Source organism: Homo sapiens, chromosome 5 (genome assembly GCF_000001405.40).
Source record: "Homo sapiens chromosome 5, GRCh38.p14 Primary Assembly".
NCBI lineage: Eukaryota > Metazoa > Chordata > Mammalia > Primates > Hominidae > Homo > Homo sapiens.
In genome coordinates, this window is record NC_000005.10 from 2,155,314 (window position 1) to 2,180,996 (window position 25,683).

The following is a 25,683-nucleotide window of genomic DNA, read 5'->3' on the forward strand; positions in this document are numbered from 1 at the left end:
GCAATAGAGTTTAAACCATTAAACAGATAGATGTCAATTGAAAGATGCCGGATAGTTTGTTTTTTAATGCTCCTGTCCTCAAAATCATAAGGCTGGGGTTTTACAGGCTGTAGTTTTAAAACATCTGTATGGGGCGCTTTTTGTGTGCTGTAGGGAAATGAATCAGTTTGGAAGCAATGCAAATTTTAAGAATTATTGTTTATTCTTACTTTGCAATTTGAAAAAAAACCACAGCAAAATTATGAGATAAGGTAATAAACAGAAATGAACCTTCCACCTTAAATGAGCACATTGAAACATTTGCATCTAACTTTTCCACTTATTTGTGGAAGTGAACCGTGACAGGTAGACGGAATCCTCCGCAGTCCTCCCCGGAGTTGCCGCGATCCACCACTGAACGCAGGGCCTGCGGAGTCCACACTCCCCTGCTTTCGTCAGGCGCACGCTAGAGGTGGGGCTACGTGTTTGCCCTGCATAGGTATGATTCACTTAGTCATCTGCATACTCGAACACGGATAGTATGTTCTGGACTTGGCTTTTTCTGGAACTCTGTGAAGCATAGAGAACGCAGGAAAGAACCCAAATGAACGCAGCCCTCCCCGCGCTGGGGAACATGAGTTTCCTGGGGAACCATGTAACAGGTGTAACACAAACCGGGTGGCTTAAAACAACAGACATTTTTTGTCTCACAGTTCTGGGAGTCAGAAGTTCAAAATCAGGGTGTCGCAGGGGCGCACTCCCTCCAGCGGCTCCAGGGCAGGATCGTCCCTGCCCCGGATGGCTTCTGTGACTCCGGGGGTCCCTCAGCTGTGGCCGCATCGCTCTGATCTCTACCTCACCTTCACGTGGCCTCCTCCTCTGGGTGGAACTGACCCAAACTTCCTCTACCTTTCCCCTTTATGGAGACACATAATTGTGCTTGGGGTTCATCTGGGGAAACCAGAATAAGCTCCGTTCTGGAGCTTATTTCCATCTCTTGCCACGTAAGGAGATACGTGTATTCACTCTTTTGCTATGTAAGAACCCTTCCTGCCATGCTTTCGGCCTGCAGAGCCTCCTCACTGGAGCGTGGCTGTGCCTCTCCCGCGGGAGCATTCTCAAGGACGTGCTGAACCAGGTGTCCTCCCTGGGGTAGTGAGCCTGGCTCGCATAACATATTTATTCCACATTCCCATCTCACCCAGCCCCTGGCTAGCTTCCTCCATGGTACACAGGGGAGGTCTTGAATCTCAACATTTGTCACAGGTGTTTGAGCCAGAGTGACTCCATCTTGAATAGGGGCTGGGTAAAATGACGCTGAAGCCTGCAGGGCCGCATTCCCAGGAAGTTAGGCACTCTTAGTCACACGATGAGCTAGGAGGTTGGCACAAGATACAGGTCACAAAGACCTTGCTGATAAGACAGCATGTGGTAAAGAAGCCGGTTAAAGACCATCAAAACCAAGATGGCGGGGACAGTGATCTCTGGTCATCCTCACTGCTCATTATACGCTAGTTAGAATGCATCAGCTGCTAAAAGACACTCCCACCAGCACCACCACAGTTGACGAATGCCATGGCAACGTCAGGAAGTTACCCTATATGGTCTAAAAAGGGGAGGAACCTCAGTTCTGGGAACTGCCCACCCCTTTTCTGGAAAACTCATGAATAATCCAGCCCTCGTTTAGCATATAATCAAGAAACAACTGTAAGTATAATCAGATGAGCAGCCCACATTGCTGCTCTGCCTATGGAGTAGCCATTCTTTTATTCCTTTACTTCCTTAATAAACTTGCTTTCACTGTACTCTATGGATTTACCCCGAATTCTTTCTTGCACAAGGTCCAAGAACCTTCTCTTTGGGTCTGGATTGGGACTTGTTTCTGGTAAAACATTCACTGTAGATGGCCTTTGGGTACAAGTTATGGTTAACCAGCTAAGCACACTGCCAGAGACACACAGGAATGGCACCATGAGTTCAGAATTCTGCTTGGAGCCCTTATATCCATTCACCTGCCCTTTCTTGTGTGATATTCTTCCTACCCAGGTAGAACAATCCCAAGGCCCCCTTCCAGGCATCTTATATAGGTCTCTGTCAGTATAAGCTGGGGAAGCCCTGTGAGCCCTTGGTGCATGCAATGTGTGCTGTGGGCCACACTTAGTGCTCTCTCCCTCCTGCCTGCAGCTCCGAATCCTGTTCCCATCAACTGCGAGTGCCCTGGGCCTGTTCGTGCGTGCATCTGGTTACAGATGCAGGAAGGATGGGAGGAGCCGGGCATGGGTCTGGAGGAGCACCAGCCTCCCCTGCAAGTCGGGATCGCAGGAGAGGTCATGGCGGAGGAGGGGTGGTTAATTTGGGGTGTGAACCTGACTGGGCTAGGCCATGCCCGAGGGCTGGTGAAGCATTGTTTCTGGGTGTGTCTGCAAGGGACTTTTTGGAAGATACCAGCATCTGAACCAGTGCACTGAGTACAGAAGATCTGCCATCAGCAGTGAGGGTGGCATCAACCAATCTGCTGAGGGCCTGAAAAGAACAAAAGAGACCAGCGCCCTCTGCCCTTGACACTGGAGCTCCTGGCTACTGGGACTTTGGACTCTGTGACCTGTGCTGACAGCCTCCCGGGGTGCTCGGGCCTTTGGTCTCAGGCTGGGAGTTTACACCGTCAGCTTCTCTGGTTTTGGGACTTCAGACTCAACCTGAATTACACCACCGAGTGGCGATTCCTGGTTCCTCAGCCTGGACAGCATATCAGGGAGCTTCGCGGCCTCCATAACATTTCCATAAGAGATCATCTTATATATAGCTATGCATTCTCTGTTGGTTCTGTTTCTCTTGAGAGCTCTAATGCCGGGTTATTGCAGCAAGGGGAGATGAACCCTGCAGATGGGAAGAAGGGATCCAGCTACTGTCAGAGGGGTTTGGGCAGAGTTTGAGGGACTGAGAATCACAGCCCCATTGGATCCTGCCTACACGTTCCCATGCCAAGTCTTCGGGTTTGGATTCTTGAGTTATGAGTCAGACATTTATTTCAGTTTCATACCTGGAGCTGGAACGGGATGTGTAAAGCCATGGTCTCATTTTGTTCCTCCAGGTTCTCTAGCTCATGTGGAAGCATCCAGGCCTCCCCACAGTTCTTATATTCCATGCCATCAAAATGCTCTTCGACAGAGCATGGTGGACACACAGCAGAGTACAGAGGTGGCCCTGGGCACTGTGGGTCAGGGCAGCTACCAGGAACACAATCTGGATGCACCTGGAGAACAACGGGGAGCAGCATCATCTGAATTGTGATTTTTTAAAAAAATCAGCTCCCTAAGTATTGCTGCTGAGTGGCAAGACGTTTTTCTTGATAAGTCTGTGACAACCAATTTAAAAAATGACCATAGGAAGAGTTTGCTATCAGGTTCTTGAAAACTAGCTCACTCCCAAATTTACCTTTTTCTTTTGTGTTTTCCTCCATTTTACTTCCAGCATCTCATGGCAACTCAGCCCCACAAAGGTTCTGACATTAACAAAATGCTTGCAAATATCCTGCCTTTCTCCAGAAAGGAATCCCATGACTCTTGCAATAAATGGTGAAGGTAACGTGAAGGGTACTTTCCAGATAAAAACTACTCCCCCGCAGAGTGTTTCACCGAGGGAGTCTATCTGATTACTCTCCACCCGGTTCTGTGTGAACTTTTCTAGTACACAGCCCTTGTTTTTCTTGGCTGTGAGCAGCAGGGCTTAGACAGCTGACGTTGCCATCCTTCTAATTATTCCAAGGGTGCTGTAGCTTGGAGCAGTGGGCGTGGGCGACCCCTGAACTCCACGAGAACCTTGAAAGGTGACTCTCAGATCTTAAAGTGAGCTTTTCGATGAATAAAACCCCAATCAATCCTCAATGGGATTGCACATGACAGGCGTGTGCTGCTGGGAATGCAACTTCCCTCTGGAAGCCCTGGTTGGTGCTGGGTAGGGGGCTTCCTCTCCTCCACAGGCTCTGAGTCCATCACTCCGTCCGTTTGAGCTTGGTCAATAAAGTTATCATGTAATTATCATCAACTGGTCTTTAATTATTAATTGTCACCTCTGGGGCTGTCTGAGGACCGAGCGTTGTATTTCATCTGAAAGTGGAACCCAGGCTTGACAGATAGGAGGGAGCATGGAAGAAATAATCAGTGCCACCATGAATAATTGAGCTTTAATAATTTTTGCTGCATTTAGAAATCATTTCCCACACTTGTTACATGACCAAGTGCCTGGAGCTGAAAAGTTGATCAGATTCATCTCGTGCTTGGTGAAACTCTAAAGCCTGAATGAACTCAAGGTGCAGATTTTCTGGAAGGAAGCTCATGGTGAGAAGTGTCTGGGGACCCCATCCTGCCATGGTATTGTCGGATGCAGGGCACCTACAGTGAAGAAACTCTTCTGACGTTAACACGGAGAGCAAGCTGGAGACAGAACTGCTTCTTTTTGAATGACTTTTTTATTATTTATTTTGACTATAAAGACTATTTATTGTAAACAAATTGAAACAGTACAAAAAGATGTCCTAAGAAGAGTAACGACTCCCTTCTGTCCTGTTGTGGCTGCCTACAGAAACAGAATGGAACATACCCAGAACCCCGCTTGGAGGTTGGACGGATCACGCCACACAGCTAGGAGGGCATGGGGGGGTTTATGACCCACATGAAGAGCCTTTGAGGGGAAAGCAGAGCGAACCCCAACCTGTTCCAGAAACTACTCGAGAGGGCCATGAAAGCTGAGTGGTGTGAGGTTTTCCTCGTGGTTGAGGGACTCGGGTGAAGGTTCACACATATGGGCACGGTCTTGCTTGGTTTGCATCTCCCAATGGTGCTCAAGAAAGGAGCAGCCTGGCTTTCTTATCAGCCTGACAGATATGGGGTAGAACAAGAAGAGGGGTGAGGCCTAAATGCTGTCAGCAAACAGCAAAACTGGGAGTCAGGCTTGACCGTATCTCTTTAGTTCTCTCACTCCAGAGGGACCTTTGTTGTTTCCTGAGTGTAGATATTTACTGTGTATATGTAAAAGTATACTTGCATGCAATGTGTATGTCTGTTTATCCATCCACCTATCCATTTTTCTGTCCATCTGTCAGCCCACCCACCCAACCATTCATCCATCATCCACCCACCCACCCATTCATCCATCCACTCACCTACCCATTCATCCATCCACTCACCCACCCATTCATCCATCCACTAACCCACCCATTCATCCATCCACTAACCCACCCATTCATCCATCCACTCACCCAACCATTCATCCATCCACTCACCCACCCATTCATTCATCCACTAACCCACCCATTCATCCATCCACTCACCCAACCATTCATCCATCCACTCACCCAACCATTCATCCATCCACCTACCTACCCATTCATCCATCTGCCCACCCACTCATCCACCCATTCATCCATCCACTCACCCACCTATTCATCCATCCACTCACCCACCCATTCATCCATCCACTCACCCACCCATTCATCCATCCACTTACCTACCCATCCACCTGCCCACCAACTCACCCACCTATTCATCCTTTCACCTACCCACCCATCCACCCGTCCATCCATTCACCCACCCACCGACCCATTCATCCATCCACCTATCCATCCATTCACCCATCCACCCATTCACCCACTCACTTATCCATTCATCTGTCCATTTGGCAGTCCACCCACACACTCACCCATCCATCCACCCACCCATTCATCCATCCACTTACCCACTCATTTATCCATTTACCCACCCACCTATCCATCCATTCACCCATCCACCCATTCACCCACTCACTTATCCATTCATCTGTCTATTTGGCAGTCCACCCACCCCTCACCCATCCATCCACCCACCCATTCATCCATCCACCCACCCACTCATTCATCCATCTACCCACACATCCACTCATCCACCCACCCACCCATCCACCCTCCAATCCATCTATCCATTCATCCATCCACCCACCCATCCATCCACCCACCCACCCATCCACTCATCCACCCATCCACTCATCCACCCATCCATCCACCTATTTTTCCACCCACCCACCCACCCGCCTGTCCATCCATTCAGCCATCCACCCTCCAATCCATCATATACCTGCCCATCCATGTATCTATCCACCATCCAATCCATCTATCCACCTGTCCAACCACCTGTCCATTCACCTGTCCATCCACCCACTCATCCATCCATGCACCCACCCACCCACCCACCCATCCACCCTCTGATTCATCCACTGATCCACCCATCTGTCCATCCATCCATCTATTCATCCATCCATCCATTCATTTATCTATCCTTTTAATGTAGAAATGGCCCCACATTACACATATTGTTTTGAATTTGTTTTTTCACTTAATGAATCTTGGAGTGACATTTGTCTACAGCTTCACCTATTTCTCATGGCTGCATGGTACTCCGTGGACCACTAATGATGGCCATTAGGGCTGATTCCATTTTCTCCCATCACAAATCATCCCTATATTCCTGTACCCAGGCAGGTATGCTGATGGGACACAGTCTTGAAAATGTGATTGTCAAGACACAGGCTATGCCCCTTGTAATCTTTGAAAGACATTGTCAAGTGGACTTCCAAAACTTTGCTCTAGAATACTTCTTAGGCAACAGGTGAGCAGAGTCTGTGTTCCATTACCTGAGTCAATTGGGGTGGGGGAGGAGCACAACAAAACAACCTGCCAATTTGAGATATAAGAAACCCTGGTAGCATTAGTTTACGTCATTTCAAATATTTATTAGACATTTTTACTTCTCACTACTCTGAGTTTTCAGTTTTTCTCAAGTAAGTTCTGCTTTTCTTAGTAATCTGTAAGAGATCCTTTAATAAGGTAGGTTGCTAATATATTTTTCAGTTAGTCATTTGACTTTGTAAAATGTTTTTCTCTGAACATTTTTTTTTTCATTATTATGAATTCAAAATAAAGAGTTTCATGTTTTCTGGCTGCTTGTTTTGTTATATTCAGAAAGTGTATCTCAAAGAAAAGATTAGTTGTTTCTTTATCATCTATGATTTTGTCTTTGGAGTTTTAAATTCTTATACTTAAATTGATGCTCCAGCAGGAATTTCTTTTGTTGTAAGGCATGAGATAGGCATCCTGCTTTATCTAATTAACTAGTAGACTGTCTCAATATCCTTTAGAAGCTATTAATCTTTTACTTGGTGATCTGAAATATTACTTTTATTAGATGAATCATTCTGAATTGTTTCATTATGTTGTTCTATGTGATGATTTCTCTCCTGTTTTGCATAGTTTTATTGATTGTGCTTTATAACATATTTCAGTGTTCGATAAGGCAGCTCCTCTGAATTACTTTTCATTTAAAACTTTTCTGACTATTTAAAAATGTTTATGTTTCTGGAAGATCTTTAGAGTCCTGTGTCCTATGTCATGTTATTCAAGCTGTTTTCCTACCAGCAAAGGTCAAAGATTCTAATTGTTATTTTAATTGGGAATGTATAACAAATATAGATCATATCTTTTTAAGCTGAGTCTTTTTAGCTAAGAACAAGAGTTGTTGTCATTTATTCAAATATTCTCTTGTATCTTCACATAATTCTTTAATTTGAAAAGCATATTGTCCTGTATTTCCTTATGCTTTTTTAGAGATATTTTATCTATTTTTTGTGAACTGAATTGCTTCCTCCTTTGTATTTCCAAATGCTTACTCTTTTGACATAGGACAATTATTGATTTTGTATTTTAAATGACATCAGTCATTCAATGAACTTAGTTTGCTTTTGCATTTTTGGTACAAGATGTTTTCTTGGTCTAGGACTCTACAACCCACAGGAGCGGTGATTCACTTGTCCCTCTGGACTTGCGGGTTCTTGCTCTGTATCCAGGCCAGGCGCTTGGCCGTTCTCAGACTGTGTTCTCATCTCTAACATGGGGATGGCCTCCACTTAAAGGATGACTTGAGGGGTTTGAGGGGACAAAGGCTGAGTGCAGTGGTGAGATGGTGCTCGGGAAGGGTGAGGTCTTGCCTGGGTGCGGGGTGTCCACGTGGGAGGGATTCCGAGGAGAGCTGGGGTGTCCGCGTGTGAGGGGTTCCAAGGGGACAAAGGCTGAGTGCAGTGGTGAGATGGTGCTCAGAAGTGCGGGGCCTTGCCTGGGAGCTGGGTGTCCACCTGGCTGGACCACTGCATCTTCTCCATCTAGTGTTTGCTGCTTTCTGGGAAAGCTGCTGGCCATGCTCCCAGCAGCTTAGGAAGGGCAGGAGCACTGAGAAGCAGTGAAGGCGGAATCTGTCGGCTCTGGGCACCCTCCTGGGCGCCTTTCCGTCCCGACTGCAGGGTTGCATCCGAGGCCTCGCCTCTGTGGCTGTCAATTCACTGACGGGGAACCCAGGCCTGATGTTGATCCCCAAAACATCCCCCAGAGCTGGGTCACATGACCAGGCATTTTAGATGAGCCCTGAGTAATTTAACAATTTTATCTTTAAGACATAGGGTGACATTAGAGCTGGACTTCCATCTTTCCCCTGATGCTGGGATAGCGATGGCTCTGCCAAGCTTGCTCTCCTGCTTTCTGGGCTCTGCCTCGCAGGACAGCTCTTCACCCAGGGAGGATACTCAGTTTAAGGAGCACCTGCTCTGCAGAACTCCTCTTGCTCCTCATCCCCCATCCCATTCACTGGCGCCACCTGCACGGGACATTGGGCACCGTTTCTCTCCCCTCTCTGTGCTCCCCCCCGGGGTCCAGGGACCTTAACACCTGCAGGACCTCTGTGGCAGCCTCTGGCCCTCTGCTTCCTGCCCAGCGGCCAGGCGACTGTTTACTCAGAGCGTGGACCCCCTGCCATGCACCTTGCAAACCCTCAGGCAGATTACCCTTACAATTAGGAAGAGCCCACACACTCCTTCCACCTGCCAGCCCTCCCGCCTGCCCTGCGCACCTCTGGGCCTGGTCAAGCACCTGGCACTTCCCTGCCCACTCTCCCGTCACCCACGCCTGCCCCAGACTCCGCCCCCGACACATCATCAGAGGGGTCTTCCTTGTCTCTCACTGGCCTCCTCTCCCACTGGTCATGTCTTCTTCGTCTGCCTGCTGCTGTTTGGGGCCCTGAGCCCCACCAGGGCACCTCTGCTCTGCACCCAGGTCCAGGAATCCCGAGAGCAGCACTCAGCATCTGGCACTGACAGCGTAGCCTGGAGATCCCACAGCTGTCCTTCCTGCCTGCTCTCTGGTTCCCTGGTTTGTATTTTAGTATTATCTCTAATTACTGCTTTCACAGAAGTTCTAGACACTTCTTTACAAGTGGCCTCAATCCCGGTCCACACACGTTTCTGCTGGGCTGAGTTCTCGTCTGCTTTTCATGCTCCTGCTTTCAGCGTGAAACCCACAGATGGCGAGACCCGAGTTTAAACTCTTGGTCATTTGTACAGCACACAACATCATGAGGAGACATCCACCCTGGCCTGAGGATCCCATTCGGATTAGAGATCAAGAGCCAGCCTGGAGGCAAGGCGTCTACGCTTGAGCCCAGGATAGAGGCAGAAGCCCCTGGAGCTGGGAAGGAGTGAGCTGGTGGGGCGCTTCCTGCTGTCCCAGGCCTGCGGGGGAGGCCACTGCCTCGCCACTTTGTTTTCCTGAATCACCACAAGACTATTTTTCCTGATGAATTAACAATTGAACGGGCTTAAGTGCCCACTATTTTTGTGAAGATGTAAAGGAGCATAAGCACGTCTTTCTGTTTTCTTTTTCCAACTTACAAATAGAGATACTGCTACTCCCGTTCTGCCCCTAATTAAATGTGCCTAGAAAACTTATTTTATAATTTCATAATTCATACTCTGTGTATTATGGCTTCTCCTTGGTCTATAGTTTTTTCATGAAAGTGTGCTAAATAGTATTATAATACCATAAAAAAATAAATGCCAGTAAAGATGGCATAGAAAAATACATTTTGGACACGCACTCCGAGGGTGGTTGATGTGAATGGTGACAGCTCCTGTGAGGGGCTTGTTTCTTCTGAACGTGTGCCCACGTGTGTATGCACGTGTGTGAGTGTGCATGTGCCCACGTGTGTATGCACGTGTGTGAGTGTGCATGTGCCCACGTGTGCGACACCAGCTGAGATCTGGAGCTGGAGGAGCCTGGTCTGAGGGCGGAGCCACTGGGCTCAGAGCTGAGAGTGCACTGGAAGCCCCTAGAAGCTGAGCCGGGGTCGTGGACCCCACCCCCGGGCCTCCGAGTCAGAAGGGACTGAGTCCGGCCCTGGAAAGTGCATTTCAACAAGTTTCCAAGAGACTGAAGCTTCTGGCTGGGGCCCCACTTAACAGACCACGGCTCCAAGTTTAGTGTGGATTTCTCATCGTAAAATTGGAGATACCCACTCCCTACTTTGAACACGATGTGCCCAGCCCCCTCACCTGTTCTTGTTGGATCCAGGAACACTGTGAGCCTGTGAGGACATGGACCAAGGCGGGGAGTCACATGAGGAGAAGTACCTTCTCCTCGCTCTGCACACATATGCAAACACTGGTACACACTTGCTCACACACCTGCTCACACACCCGCTCACTCACACCTTCTCAGTGTATATGATAGGCACACTCACACTCACACATGTGTGCACACACACAGATCTCTGGCAGAAGCCGGAAGGACACAAAGGCCACTTGGACTTGGGGCATGAGGAGAGAAACCAAGCTGCCAAAGAGGACGTGATTTAGAACATGGGCCAACAGGGCCACGGTGCTCTAAATAACCTCACATGACCCACATTGAGACTGTTGTCTATGTAGCCAGCTGAGGGGCTCTGGGCTATGTGGGGTCAGGCAGAGGGGACTTGCCCAGAGCATGAATCTGCCAGGTTGGAACACAGCAGCCGCCTCAAGTTCCCCAGGTGCCTGGGAGAAGCCGCCTTTTGCAGGGAGCTGTGGGCCTGAGGGGTGCCAGCATGGAGGCCAAGCCTGGCTCCTCATCTGATGGGCTGGATTTGCCCTGGTAAGATACTACCGAGGCTGGACCACAGGGAAGGAGGAACACAGCCCCTGACAACTGTGGGCAGCCGCTGGGCATCACTGGATGTCAGACACGGAAATCTCATGACATGGGCGCCTGCTGCGGCGCCCAGCACTCCACCTGCATCCAGCTCATGCTCCTCCAGGAGGACTCCTTGGAGATGGTTAACCCGCCCCGTCGAGGGAGAAAGGTGAGGTTCCAGACACTGAGTGACTTGCCTGAGAACACTGATTCTGCTCACACACGCTGGGAGCTGCTGACTGTGGTGGGAGTGTGGGGGGCCAGTGGAGAGGAGACCCCAGCAAGCAGCCCCTGAGGACAGGCTTGTCTTCAGCTCTCCACCACTGCCCCAGCTCCCAGGGGCCCCTTTCCACACAGCAGCTGCTCAGTAAACATCACACACATCCACTTTGGAGGTGCCTCCGGACCCTGACAGCCCTGGATGGAGACAGAGTAAAAGTGACTCAGCAAGCATCTTTCCTGGGCCGCATCAGACATGGGGACGGCCACAGTCATCCTGCACGAGGTTGACCAGACTGTCCAGTCTGTGGACCTGGGGGAGGCAGGAGCTCCCTCTGTTGATATGAAGACAAAGCAGGCTCTAGAAACGCCGTCTGTGGAGAAGGGCTGTCTGCAATCTATGTGGGAGTGCGTGTGTGGAAAGAGCTCACTCCCACAGCACACGGACCCTCAGGTGGCCCTATGGCCGGGCCTCCAGGATCCGTCTCCTCCTTGAGCATGAGCCACTTGCCTCCAGCCAGAAGAGGCAGCCCCAGGGATAGGATGTCTGTCTTGTGATTGTGTTTTGTTCCAAAGACTCAGTCTCAGCAGCCTGGAGACTCCCATGGGCCCCTCAAAGTGGGCGGCTGTGTCAGGTGACCTTGCATGACAAGGAACTGCAGGTGGCTATGGGGCCCAAGGAGAGCCCCAGCTGGTTCTGCCCCACTCCAGATGGGGACTCAGCCCGGCTGATGCTTTGCCTGCAGCCTGGTGTGACCCAAGGCGGAGGGCCCACAAGGCAAAGGACCCACAAGACCACAGAAGAATAGACGCAGGTTGTTTTAAGTTGCCAGGTTGTGATAATTTGTTATGTAGCCAAATAATAAAAATAAAAATGAATGCATTCACGGATGCCTTGCATTCACAATTAGATATTTCTTTAATGAGCAAAAAGGGAACTCTTATTATTTGCTAAGGATAAATGACAGCGACATAGTCAGCATTTCATGTTTTCATGTTTTCGAATCATTTAGAGTCTCAAGTGAATGAACTTTATCCAACGCTATCCTGAAAGCCGCTTGCAGTGGAGAGGGGATTCCTGCTGATGCAGAGGGTGCGGGAAGGTGAAGAACCCCAGGGGCCGTGTGTGCTGCCTCCACTGGAGCCAGGCAGACATTGGAAGGGACTGGCCCATGTGATCCCGGCACACACAGTCTACCCCTCCTTCCAGGAGAAAAGGAGGATGATTAATTTAATTATTTAATGACACTGTGTTCATTAAAAGGCTGCCAGGCGAACTTTAAAACTAGGACGTTCAGAGCATGTCCTTGTTGGCCGAAGGAGCGGGTGTGAGCATGATGGCTGCTTCTGGGCTCTATGCCGGGAGGAGCTGGGCAACATTGATGTCTCCCTCAGAGAAATGACCGTGAAAACTGCTCCATGCCAGATTTGCGCAGGGAAATGGTGCTATTTTTAAATCTGCGCACAAAAGGAAGAGGCTTCACAGACAGCGCTGCCCTGGGAAGGGAGGTGCCCAGGTGCGTGGGGACAGAAAACCAAGTCCTGCCTGAGAGATTCAGAGAAGCCGTTGATTTACTTTGTAAAGATTATGTTTGGCCAGGCGCGGTAGCTGAGGCCTGTAATCCTAGCACTTTGGGAGGCCGAGGCAGGTGGATCCCAAGGTCAGGAGATCGAGACCATCCTGGCTAACATAGTGAAACCCCATCTCTACTAAAAATACAAAAAAAATTAGCCGGGCTTGGTGGCGGGTGCCTGTAGTCCCAGCTACTTGGGATGCTGAGGCAGGAGAATGGCGTGAACCTGGGAAGCGGAGCTTGCAGTGAGCCGAGATCACCCCACTGCACTCCAGCCTGGGCAACAGAGCGAGACTCCATCTCAAAAAAAAAAAAAGATCATGTTCAAAGACAGAAGTCCTGTTCCCTGTCCCTCTGAAGCCTCCCTTGATGGGACAGTGTGGTGGACAAGGAGCAGGCAGGAGCAGCCCCAGGACTCCATGCATCTTAGGGCAAATGAGTCAGTCACATTGGAGCCTGTCAGGGGTGACAAGCTTGTGAATATTCTTGGGCAGGGACAGTGACGGTTTTTCCAGGAAGATGAAGCAACAAAATTAATAAGTAATAAACCTGAACTATATTTCCTTTTAGCTGAAGAGGAGAGAGGGAAGGAGGTACAATGTGTGAGGACAGCGCTTTGGTCGTCTCCAGTGGATCCCCAAACCCTGGCACTGCGCCTCCCTGGACGCAGAGCATTCTCGGAGATATGAGGGTGGCCAAGCACGTCCACACTCCATCTGTTCTTTATGGATGTGCCCTGGCTCTTTCCCTTCATTCAAAGCAATGAGAGATTGAAAGAATGTTTGTGTCACACTCTGGATGGCTTCCCTGATGAAGGGACATCCCTGGCAGGATCTGCTGCCACCCTGGCAGGGGGCCGGGTATTCCCGCATGGGCCTGTGGCTTGGGCTGTTCATGCAAAACAGATGAGGGTCACAAATTGGAATTAGGATCGGGGTGGGCCACACCCAGGGCCGGCTTTTATCAGGCCCTCCACCTACTCCTTGCAATTATGCTTTCATTAGCTTCTGAGTCCAAAGGTCCTGCAAAAGGCCTTCCGCCCCTTCTCCCTGTCCTCCCGCATACCCATCCTGTTTCTCCCGAAGAGACTGAGGAGAAAGGTCCCACTGGCTGTTCTGCTCATCGTCATGTGAACGGGAGGTCATCGCACGTCACGACGTTGCTTCAAACACAGTTTTCCAGCCCCGCCCATCACTCTCCCGCGGGAGCAAGGGAAATGGGAGCTGTCGGCTCCACTTACCCTTACCTCCCACACTTTCTCCTGGACAGTAGACAATTTATGTTTTCTCTTTGCAGGGAATAATAATAATAATAAAAAGACCCCAACAACTCTGTTTGAAATATGTAAAAGCAACTTAGCAGGTAATGCAATATAGGAGGAAAAATAGCTCCTTGCTGAGTTCTTCATGTTTACCCATCACAGAAAACAAACTCTAAAATGTGCACAGTTTGAGCACAGGCAGCCTTTGGTGGGCCAGTGCCGCCTGGGGAAGCCGAGGACCCTGGCCAGGACGCCAGCCCAGTCGAGGGCCTCCCTTGCTCCTTTTCTCCCCGCCCTCAGTGAACAGCATCCATCCCTCTGTCGCAGCCACTCGCGCCGTGTGACTCTATCATATAACGATTTGTCTTGGGGTCTTGTCTGAAATAATTTGAACTGCCAAATCCTGAAATGAATAGGTTTTGTTAACACAAAAGGCTAAGGAACTGGTTGGAAATTTTAAAGAGCTCCGGCCCCCAAGTCTTGGGGGACCACATTGTCTGGCTGGCGGGCACTCTTGTCAGCAGCGCTGCCTCGGTGGGTGCGGGATGATGGATGGGCCGCTGCGGAGGAGAGGAGGGCGCGGCCGGGCTGGGAATTGGCTAAGTACTCCCGGGCGCCTGACCCCATCGTGGCGCGGCGAGTCGGCCTCCTTGATTTATAAACTGGGGTGGTGATTAATGATCTTTTAGGTGGACAAGGCGGGCCAAAGCCTCGCCACTCGGGCCACTCAGAAATGACGACCACTTGTAGCCGGGGAATAACAGCCTTGCAGGGAGGTATCCAGGCCGCCTCGCAGCAGCCCCGGTGCCCACCCATTTTCCACGAGGGTCCCACAAAGGCTCCTGGTGGACATCTGCATGGCCATAGAGCAGGGGCGTGTGCGGGGAGGCGACTCCTCCCTTCCCAAGCCAGGGCGGCTTGGGGAATGCGGTTGGAGCTAAGGACAGGGCGGAGGGCATCGCCCGCTCCTCCTCAGGGCTCCTCCTGCCTCCCTGCAGGCTCTCCATGGTCACGCCAGGCTGGGCAGCGTGCCAGACTTTGCTGTCTGCAGCCGCCTTGGCTGCCCGGAGGACCCTCGTCTGTGTCTAAGGAGCGTCTCGCTGAGTTCCCTGCACAGCGTCCCCTGGCCACGGTGCTGGAGGGCCTCAGCTTCTTTCTCCTGCACTGGAAATGAAGATGCAAACCTGGGGCGCTGAAAGCCACAGCAGGAACTGGACACACCCTCTGGGCCCAGGCCCATCCCCTCCAGGCCTTCCTCCCAGGGTTCTCTCCTCCCTGGGACACCCTGAGGAGACCAGAGAGAGACAGGCTGAGCTCCCTCGGTGAGTGGGAACCCAGGGGCAGCCATGCCTGGAGATGCTCTACCCGCGGGTTACAGCATTCGTCAAGGTAATGATTATAATTGGATCTGGCGTTGCTGTGACTCATAAATAAACGAAGGGCACTGTGGCTGCAGGTGAGCAGGGAACAGATCAATAGCAGAAAACCAACCTCTGCTACGAAAAGAGCTTTCACGTCTCCCCAGAGGGAGACTCCAAAATCATTTCAATCTGTTCTGAACTCCAGGGAAAGCTTCAGTGTGTTGAAAGGAGGGAGAAGAGGGAGAGGAATCCCAGACAGGCTTTCTGAGCTCAGCTCTAATGAACTGAGCCCTTGGCTCTGAGATAGGGAGCATCTTCCTCAAACGTTGTTTGCAAGGAAGGGAGGTGTGGCTAATGGATTATCCTGCAGCTCGGGGTATGTGTGCATAATTAGCATCACCTCTTTTTAAGCATGACTGCGGCTGGTGCCTTTTGCAAAATGCAAACGTGAAAGTTTATGAAGGAAGAGGTTTGGAGGTGGGTTAAAACTTCATCACAGAATTCTACGCTAGGGAGACATACTGGCGGAGAGCTCAGGGAAGACGTTACACATGTGAATATATTTGGGAACTGAGGATGAAGATGGAGCGCCATGGTTGGAGTGTCTGTCCCTACGTGGGATGATGCTCCTTCTCCCCAGCAGAGATGCATTTTTGTTTTTTGTTGCTGGTTTTAAAAACCAACAGAACAGACTATGGCTTCAGAATTGGGCTCAATTTGTGGCTCAAAAGGCCTGTGATTATCTTACTTTACTTCAGTTACAAAGGATGTCACAGCAGCCACCCAGGTTCACGCAGGGCGAGTGGAGACTTTCCACAGCAGTGGCCGTCTCTGATAATGGGGGTATTTCTTCTTTCTCTTCAATGACAACATGAAACACCTTTTCTCTATATTTTCTTTGTCTTCTTCCAATTTTTCATTCAATGATTGTATTCATTGTATAAAGGAGAACTTAGTTTAAACAGGGAATTATATATTGTTCCTTTAGATGGAAGGAGAGGGATTAGAAGGCAAGAACAATATGTGGCTGCTTCCAAAGTAGCTTCAGTTTTCAAAAGAACTCGAGGCCTCACCTACCTACCTACCCAGCTGCTCCTAAAGCAAGCTCATGCCAAAGTCTTCATTTGCCTTCTCTCTGCTTCTGGAAACAATGGGAACAGGATGAAATTTGGAGCCTAAATGACATGGTCAGGTTCTTCTTTGCCTCACCCTTCCTGTGTAAATTCGAGCAAGTCTTTCTGGGATACCAACAGGAATAACAGGCTGCACGTGGTGGCTCACGCTTGCAATCCCAGCACTTTGGGAGGCCGAGGCAGGAGGATTGCCTGAGCCCAGGAGCTTGAGACCAGCCTGGGTAACAGAGAGAGATCCTGTTTCTACAAAAATTAAAAAAAAAAAAAATAGCTGACTGTGGTGTCAGTAGTCCCAGCTACTGAGGAGGCTGAGGCAGGAGGATCACTTGAGCCCCGGTGGTTGAGACTGCGGTGAGTTGTGATTGCACCACTGCACTCCAGCCTGAGCAACTGAGACTCTGTCTCAAAACAACAACAACAACAAAGAAACCAAACAAACAAAAAACAACAAACAAACAAAAAACAACACTTTTCGAGCTCCAGGAACACCCCAATACTGTTCTAAGCCCTATTGCACGTAACACTATGAATCCTCATGGCAACCGCATGAGAGAGGCACTATTCTCATAGAAGAGGAAAATGAAGCACAGAGAGGGCACACAACTTGCCCAGAGTTGCCCAGCTCTCAAGAGGCAAAGCCAGGATTCAGAGCTGGGTGGTCTGACTCCATCCCTGAACTACTGCAGGTCTGCTGCAGGAGTTACTGTAAGAATTGGTAAAGAGAACACATGAAAGTGCCAAACACAGGGGTGCCCGCCCAGCACAGGGGTGCCTGCCCAGCACAGGTGTCGCCTCTCCCCTTTCCATCTGCCTGGGCAGGTTGTGCAGCCCAGCCAGCCTCAGGTGTGTCAGCCAACAGGTGACCCAGAGGCGGCCGGGCAGGACCTTTGCTGTGACACTTTTCTCATGGAAACCTAATACTCTGCCATGGTGGATTTACTTATTCAAATTTCATTTCTGCATGAACCGTGGCCCATCAAACACTGGATGTACCATTGCTTCTTGTGAACAAATGGCCTGGCCCTCAGTCGTTTCTGTACTTGGTGAAGCCACTACACTCTACCTTGAGCCATGGGCTAAACTATGATTCAGTTTGTGCTGCTGGCTCAACCTGCCTTTCTAATGAAAAATTAAATTAAAAAAGCAAAAATCAAAAACCTAAGCCAACGACAAACAAACACAAATCCCAAAAACTCACCCTGTATTTACAAAGGGCGCATGGGATGAATCTGTGTTTTCTTCATTGTTCATCAATCATTCACACCTGAAACTCTGTGTCTATTTCCACCTATCAAATTATAGCCTCATTTGCTATTCTAATGGGAAAAGGAAGCCAACTAGCCCACATTGGGAGAACAAAGGCTGTATTTATAACACAAGCGGCCTAGAACATAAAATGGTTCAGGGTAATTGACTTTCTGGGTGGGATTATCTTTGGAGAGAAAGCAACATTTATTTAGATTCCACATCTGCAGCCGACAGTGTGTGCTTGCAGAAACTGCTGAAGCATCATTGGCAAGTTTATTTTGCTACGGGTTGTTTCGTCTTCAACCAGTTGTAGTATTGATTTCCCTCAGTGGATTAATTATCAGAGGCAGTTCCAGGCTTCCCTGAGATGGACGGAAGGAGAAATGATGTTTTCATTTCAGTGAAGCCTGTTGGCAATTGTGCTGGGGTTTCTCTGGAGCCCTGGAGTTGACGAATCGGGGGCCATGGCAGAGCAGGACTGTGCCTGAAATTATTCATCTTATCTGTGGTTGTGAAGTCTTGGCAGCCTGTGGACGCTTTTAAAGGGGCTTCACAGGGCTCTCTGCTACTATTTGTAGAAGGAGTATTCAGCCCTAGGGGGAAAGGAAGAGAAATTACCGAGCCGCACAGACATGGAAGTCTAGGTTATTTATAGCCAGCCGATGTCCTGACATGAGGAAGATTTAGATGGCCTGCTGGGGCCCAGGGCTCCTACAGACACAAGGGCCAGCCTCTTCTCCAAAGAGGCTTGTTTAAAAACCATGTAGGATCACCAAGACCCTGCAAGGGTCTTTGAGAGTCACTGCCATAGACTTCAAGAATCCAGGTGATAAGGATGAACAAAATCCTTAAAAATAAATCCTGTCTTGGCACTCATTCCTGTGAATTTTATGAGATGTGGAGTCATAATAACACTTTATTTTTGAATATCCACATTAACTTTTCCATATGTCAAGGTGTTTCTAAAAAAATCTCTTTTTATCCATAGAGCACCTTTGGATGGTAGATGGGGCAGGGTTACGAAGTTCCGTGCTGTTTCTACCATGAACATCTGCTGGGGTTGGGGGAGAAGGCTGTGTTTCAGGCAAGCCACTGAGTGTTTTTCCAGAGCTTTGTGAAATCGCTGTTTCCTTGTTCTATAGAGAAGTTAAATTGAACCTTCAGAAGTTTATTTTCTTCTACTATCATTTTAATTTTTTTAGTATAAGTATAGTAACTGTAAAAATGGCATCATGTTGTCAAATAGAAATCAGATAAGAGGTGAAAATACAAAACATAATTTGTGAGTGTGCATCTTTATAGGTATCATCATAAGTTCTTACTCTTATGTTCTCTATTTTTTTTTCAGATGTGTGATCACAAAAAGGTAGCACTTTTTGCAATGCTTTCTAAACTTTTCCCATTAGGAGAAGTCTTGATCTTATCTCCCCTAATTTCCCTGAGCCTCATTTTCACAGCGCAGAGTGCCCCAAACGGTGTGGTTTTGTTTCTTCTTTAGGCTCTTTTCTTGGATGGTGTACTTAGTGCTTCCGATTTTTTGCTTTGAACATCCTGAAATGAATATTTCTGGAGTTGCGCTTTTGAGCTTGTTCTTGGCGGACTCAAAGGAGTGGTCCCTGCTCGAGGCTGCAGTTAGAGCCTGGACGGTCGGAGAGGCTGGCCCTGAGGCTGCCCTGCTCCTGGTGGCCCTCCCAGGACCTGGATTCTCTGTGCTGCGGTGGGTGAGGGGGTGCTCCCTTCCCCACTCTGATCTAGTCCCCGCTTTTGGAATCATGTGTGGCATGGATGGATACTTTTTCTAATATTAATGCTTATTAGCATTTTTGTTTAAATTGTGAACTGACTTTTTTTTTTTATATACATTTGCTTTCTTATGTGCTCGCTTTTTACTTTTAGCCAAACCTGCCAAATTGATTTTTGGAGATTTTCCGCATTTGGGGCCATGTTTAAAAATATCTCCCCCATCCAAAGTTCACATAAATCTCCACAGATATATTTTCTGAAATTTTATGCCCTTTTTTGCTTTTCCTTAAAACTTTAAATTATCTGGAAAGAGCTTTGACACCCCATGAGCGACGGATGGCCCAGAACCTGGCGCTCCGTGCTGCGCGGCTCCCCCGGCTCCCAGAGCTGCGCTCTGCGTCCGGCCTGAGCTGCCCTCCCGGCTGCAGACTGACCGATAATGTGGCCCCACTGTGCAGGACCCAGGGTGAGGGGTGCTGTGGTCGATTTCCGTGCTATCCTTCTCTGTGCTGAGAATGCACTGATGGAAAGATTGTGATTTAGAGCAGTTCAGGTTCCCACAGCCCCTCCCTTACAGCCCCCAAAACACACCGCATCCCTGCATGTTAATCTGTGTAGTCATTTCATCAGATTCAAAAGCAACTTTTATGCTGCTTACAGTTCTTAATGATTTTGTATTTTTATAATTAGGATGTTGCTAATGTTTGTTACTTTCTCAATTTATTATTATTATAAGTGGCTTAAATTTCTACATTAATTTGGAAGAAAAGGGCCTTAGGATGGACTCTGTTTGCTCTCGGGCCTTCTCTTGTCCCCAGGGTGGCTGATGCCATCATCGGTGGCCTGTCCCTGGCTCATTTGTAGAATCTCACCAAAGCAGGGAGTCCGCATCAGACCTCTAGAATTCAGGCTAGAAATCTGAATTTCAGACAGGAACACGTCCCCCAGGCACCTGCGGCACAGGTGTTGGGGAGCCAACCCTTGGAGAGAAGAGCTCCCAGCTTTGTTTTTATTTCACTCAGTGCTCACCGCTTCTGGCTTTGGAGACGGCAACACAGAGCCCACCGGTCCCGAGGGAGCTGCCCGTCCTCGCGGGCTCCCGCCTGGCTCGCAGCTCCTTGCCAGTCCCCGGAGGAACGGTGAGGACGGCGCTGGCCTGGGCAGCACCCCTGGCGACCACGCCGATGGTGGGACCGGGGAAAGCCATCCTCCCTCCACACTGCCCTGAGCCGGCCGGCAGCGAGTGGGAGGTGGCTGCAGCAGGGGTGGCCCCAAGGGATGGCCCCAAGCCAGGATTTAGGGCAGGGGTTCTCAAACTGGTGCACGTGGAGATCTGCTGGAGGCCTCCCACAAGTTTCAGACTCCCCAGGGCTGGAGGGGCAGGGATTTGCATTTCCAGCGGGTTCCCAGGTGATGCTGATGCTGCCGGCCTGGAGACGACCGCCCGGACAGGGGAACCGTCGGAACCAGGGAATTCGTCTCTCTCTCCAGGCCTCTCTCTCTCATCAGATTTAAGAAATTACTCCATTAATTTTTCTTGACATTCCCTTATGCTATTTTATAAATGGTGCAGCAGGTAGTAGAAATCTCTTTTAAAATTCCTTCAGAAAGAATACTTCTGTCTGTTAATCAATTTTCTTAATTACTTAAACGGATAATTACCAGTTACTTTCTTCTCGCCTGTTTTTCTTGTAAGGTAAAGCAATACCGAAGTAACTTGTGATTTGAGGCATTTACAGAGATCCTGAGAAACAGGAAGAAAACAATATATTATACAGGTTCTAAATGCTAAGCAGTGTGGAAATCTCTCCATCTTTCTTCTTTGTTCCTTGGAACAAGCAGATGAGGTAGGCATGGAATTAAAGGCATATGGAATTCAGTGCTCTGACTTGGAGACAGGGGTAGTTCTGCCTGAGCAAGTTGAGGTGGTGTACAGAGATACCTGGACCTTTGAACACACGTTGAGTATTGCAGATGGAATTCTGGATTAAAAAGTGAGTCAGACATCAATGGCCAACTTATCATTTGATCACTTGTTGATTTATTTGTCAGTGCCTGACATATTTCCTAATCATAATTACTATGATCTGTAATGTACACATGATTTAAAGGTAAATTTATTTCAAATAACTGAATTTAAATGTGAATAAAGTACAGCTTTTCAGCAAATGATTTAAATAATCTGCTGTACAGAAAGCCCACGTAGCTGTGTAGCTACGTTTAACAAGCAGCTGATAGAAAGACGGGGGTTGAAGAATGTATAAAATTTTCCAAGTTGGCTGCAAGTGCATTGAAGGCAAGAATCCAGTTTTCTTCTTTGAACTCTGGGGTGTGATCTTAGCGACCCTAGGCCCTGGTAAGAAGGAGGCAGCCCAGCTCGGGGCCCCTAAACCAAAGCCCCTTTCTCGTCTTTTTTGCCCGGCGGAAGGCAGTCTCTATGCAGATGTGAACATCCCAGTGGTGCTGAGGTTCTACCAGCCCCAGCTCCAGAGGCAGCCCAGGTGACCACGCTCTGTCCACTGTCCAGCAGTGACCTCAGGGAGTAGCATTACTTCCTTGGGGAGAGGAAGTCCTCCAAGGCATCCACACTATCCTGGAGTCCTCATCCCATCCCACAGCCTCCAGCCCTGTAGGAGCCCAGGCTCAGACACCCAGGATCCATCGTGGAGCGGTTGTCCCCTCGCCCCACCCTCCTGCCCCCCTGCTCAGCCCATCTGCAGTTCCTGAAGGGTGGCAGCAGGTGTTCCTTTATTTCTTTTTTTTTTCTTTTGAGACAGTCTCACTCTGTCACCTAGGCTGCAGTGCAGTGGCGTGATCTTGGCTCACTGCAACTTCTGCCTCCCGGGTTCAAATGATTCTCCTGCCTCAGCCTCCTGAGTAGCTGGGATTACAGGCATCTGCCACTTGCCTGGCAAGTTTTTGTATTTTTTATAGAGAGAGGGTTTCACCAGGTTGGCCAGGCTGGTCTCGAACTCCTGACCTCAGGTGATTCACCTGCCTTGGCCTCCCGAAGTGCTGGGATTGCAGGTGTGAGACACCATGCCCGGCCTGTTCCTTTATTTCTTAAGGCCTAGGGATATTTTCAGAATCCCAAGTTCCTTCTTAAAATACAAGGGCTCATGGAGAGAAGAGTATCCCCAAGGTCATGTGACAATGGCAAGGTGGGTGGTGGCCACACGGAGGTGAAGGAGGAGCAGGGTCAGGCCTGAGGGGCAGCTGGGAGCCCAGAAGAGGTGGCAGGCTGGGCGTGACCATTGAGGAAGTCTGCCCTGCTGCAAGGATCACGCAGGACGTCTCAGATCCGTGATCCGCCTGCCTGCCCTTCCTCCCTTGCTGCTGCCTAGGAGCCAGCCCTTTGAAGGCCTTCAGATGAAGGAGGTGACCTGCCCTGGCGCTGAGGGAGCCCTGGGAACCCCGTAGAGCCCTGTGCTGCTCCACGCCTCACTGGGTCTCCTGGGCTGCCTGGCCCTGCGTGGTGCTCGCTGGGTGCAAGCCCCTCTGACCTCCCATTGGGGCACTGTGTCCTGGGTGGCAACCTCCGGTCCTCCGTCTCTTTCTCAGCCTCAGTCCAGCTCAGCCTTCAGGCCTTCCTGTGCCACCAGGCCCTGACCCTGGGCCTGGGTCTGGGTGAGGAGCCCCGCTGGATTGTCCCAACACCCAGCGTCCCCTCCCAGCATGGGTGGTGCCTGGACATGGCCATGCTTTCTGCTACCGCGAGCTGTGTGGGTGCTGTGGGCCCAGCTCCTTGGGGTGTCAGCTCTGCACACTGATGGACAGGGGGCCTGCAATGCTCCAGGGACCCAGGGCGACGTCCCCCGCTGTGCCCATCACTTCCGCTGACCAGCATACCTGGCCTGGCTGGGAGGGTTTGGGCTCCACAGGAAGGGGCCGTGGGGCGGACTCGCAGGCAAGCCCCATGGCAGAAAGGCGCCAGCACCTCCAGACAGCAGAGGATATTTCCTAGGTGTCCTGGACATCTGCAAACCCGGCCAGTTCATGCCCAAGCCTTGGCACACTGCCAGGGAGGTGCAGAGCCAAAGGTGTGGGAGGGGCTCCCTCAGGGCCTCCCAGGCCCTGCGGCAAGACGCACAGCCTCCCCTGGAGGGGAGAGGTGACAGTGTAGAACCAGGGCCCCAGACCAGTATTGCAATGCGTCGGCATGGAAAAATGGAAATGCTTGCAGTGACCACAATGTGTTCCTCTGGAGTTGGGGTTGATGGGCTTGACTTCTGTCCCTGCATGTCTCTGCCCTGTGAGAACTTAGATCCTCACCAAGGAGAGGGAGGGTTCAGAGCCACTGTTCTCCACGAAACGATCGCTTTAAAGGCCATGGGTTCTTTGCTCCTCTTGGTTTCTGTGCCTTGCAGGGTCCCTGACTCAGACCCTGGGCTGAGAACCAGGCTTCACTTGACCAGCAGGATGCCAGCAAACCTGACTGTGCCAGTTGTGTGCATAATTACTCTCTTCTACAGAACAGGGAAAGAGTTAGGGAAACATAAGACCACATTGCACAGGAGCTTACAGCACAATTAAACCACATCCAAGCAAGCAAGTGTCCAGCACATGGGAAAATCACACACACACAAGGAGCCACAGTCACCGTCAGGGCTGAAGGAATTTTGGAAAGCATGAAGTGGCAAAGCCAAAGCCAGGATCACAGGGCTTTCCACCTATGTCTGCGGAGAAGCCATTTACAGAAGGCTCCCGGGCCCCCACTCCACAGCTCTGGGTTTCCAGTTGACCGGGAGGCTCAGAAAATGCAGAGGACACCGACTTAGGTTTTAATTTACAAACTCAACCCTAACAGAGATGGTGGCATTTCCTGAAAGCTTCATGAGGATGAGCGGTGAGCGCAGCTTGGAGGGAAGCTGGTGGCAGCCGCGGGCTGGTGACTCTTCCGCAGGAGGCCGGGCTGCCATCACTAGGCGACACTGCTCTGTTCTGATTTTATTAACCACCTTCTCACACTTTCCTTACATAAGGATATTTTAATAGTCACTTGTGAAGCCAGTGTTTTGTTGTCAATTACAGGATACAAATCACCTGTTTACGGGGCGGTTTGAGGCTCGCTGGCGCTGTGCCCTGGAACTAGACTTCGCCTGCACTCCGTTTGTGTTCCTGGGGCCTCATGAGGCTGCGGAGCCACGGAGAGACATCGGGAAATAATTACAGCCCCCCTTCCAGGAGCGGCTGCGCGTCTCTTGTAAACAGGCCTGTCCATGGTTATCACTCACGATACATCTTGTTTCCTTTGAAGACCAAGTTCAGTTCTCAGCACCCAGGAGGAAGCGTGAACATACCGGCCAGCAGACACCTCGGGGGCGAGAGGGTGGCACCCACCTCCCGGAGCGTGGACTCCACGTGGCCCCCCACCACCTTCACGGCAGGAGAGCTCCACGCGGCCCCCCACCACCTTCACGGCAGGAGAGCTCCACGCGGCCCCCCACCACCTTCACGGCAGGAGAGCTCCACGCGGCCCCCCACCACCTTCACGGCAACACTCCGGGAGGAGAGGGGAGAGAGCATCTCCCTCGGCCTTCTCCGTGAAGTCTGGGACCTGGAGACTGTCCCCCCGGCCAAATGAAGGAAAACGGTGTTTTTGGGAGCTCGATTTCCCTTGACAAGTCAGATTTTCTGTTTTCAGATTCCATTCAGCTCTGCAGGCTGCAGACCTGGGCTCGCGTCCTCTCACGAGATACGGGGCTGCTCTCCCCTGGAGCTTCCCCCTGGAAAAATAACAGCAGGCTGCCACCCCGAGCTCTCAGGGTGAACAGAGGACCATACAGGCTTTACAAAAACGCTCCAGGATGTAAGCGTGGTTCCGGAATCCATTGCAGGAGGCCCATCGAGATGGTCAGAGCCGGGGCCGATTCCGCTCGGTTTCTGTTGAAGTCGTGTACAGGATGGAGAGCAGGTGAGATGTCGTCATTTCAGTCATTCACAAGAGGCCCCTTCATAGTCCCCTCCATCCAAAGGGTCGGTTTGGGCTATATTGAGAGATTAAGGGAAAACTCATGAGAGTATTGTTACATAAAGCTCCTAAGTGTTTTATGTTTATTAGTTTATTTAACACTCACAGTGTCTCCATGAGGCAAGCATGGTCATTGTCCCTTTCTACAGTTGGGGACCGGGGCCCAGAGAGGTCGTG

At 50.2% G+C, this 25,683-nt stretch overlaps 4 annotated features.

Annotated features, from left to right (window-relative positions):
* Nucleotides 2,312-2,812: an enhancer, noted in NCBI's record as "H3K27ac hESC enhancer chr5:2157739-2158239 (GRCh37/hg19 assembly coordinates)". NCBI's record gives its function as "activates a minimal SCP1, AML or CMV promoter by ChIP-STARR-seq in naive H9 embryonic stem cells {active_cell/tissue: H9 hESC(naive)}" and the evidence as "EXISTENCE:reporter gene assay evidence [ECO:0000049][PMID:30033119]".
* Nucleotides 16,633-16,802: an enhancer, noted in NCBI's record as "experimental_83908 CRE fragment used in MPRA reporter constructs". NCBI's record gives its function as "activates a minimal promoter by MPRAs in K562 erythroleukemia cells, with activity observed for both the introgressed and non-introgressed 5:2172145 variant alleles {active_cell/tissue: K562}" and the evidence as "EXISTENCE:reporter gene assay evidence [ECO:0000049][PMID:34662402]".
* Nucleotides 20,385-20,885: an enhancer, noted in NCBI's record as "H3K4me1 hESC enhancer chr5:2175812-2176312 (GRCh37/hg19 assembly coordinates)". NCBI's record gives its function as "activates a minimal SCP1, AML or CMV promoter by ChIP-STARR-seq in naive H9 embryonic stem cells {active_cell/tissue: H9 hESC(naive)}" and the evidence as "EXISTENCE:reporter gene assay evidence [ECO:0000049][PMID:30033119]".
* Nucleotides 25,250-25,419: an enhancer, noted in NCBI's record as "experimental_83940 CRE fragment used in MPRA reporter constructs". NCBI's record gives its function as "activates a minimal promoter by MPRAs in K562 erythroleukemia cells, with activity observed for both the introgressed and non-introgressed 5:2180762 variant alleles {active_cell/tissue: K562}" and the evidence as "EXISTENCE:reporter gene assay evidence [ECO:0000049][PMID:34662402]".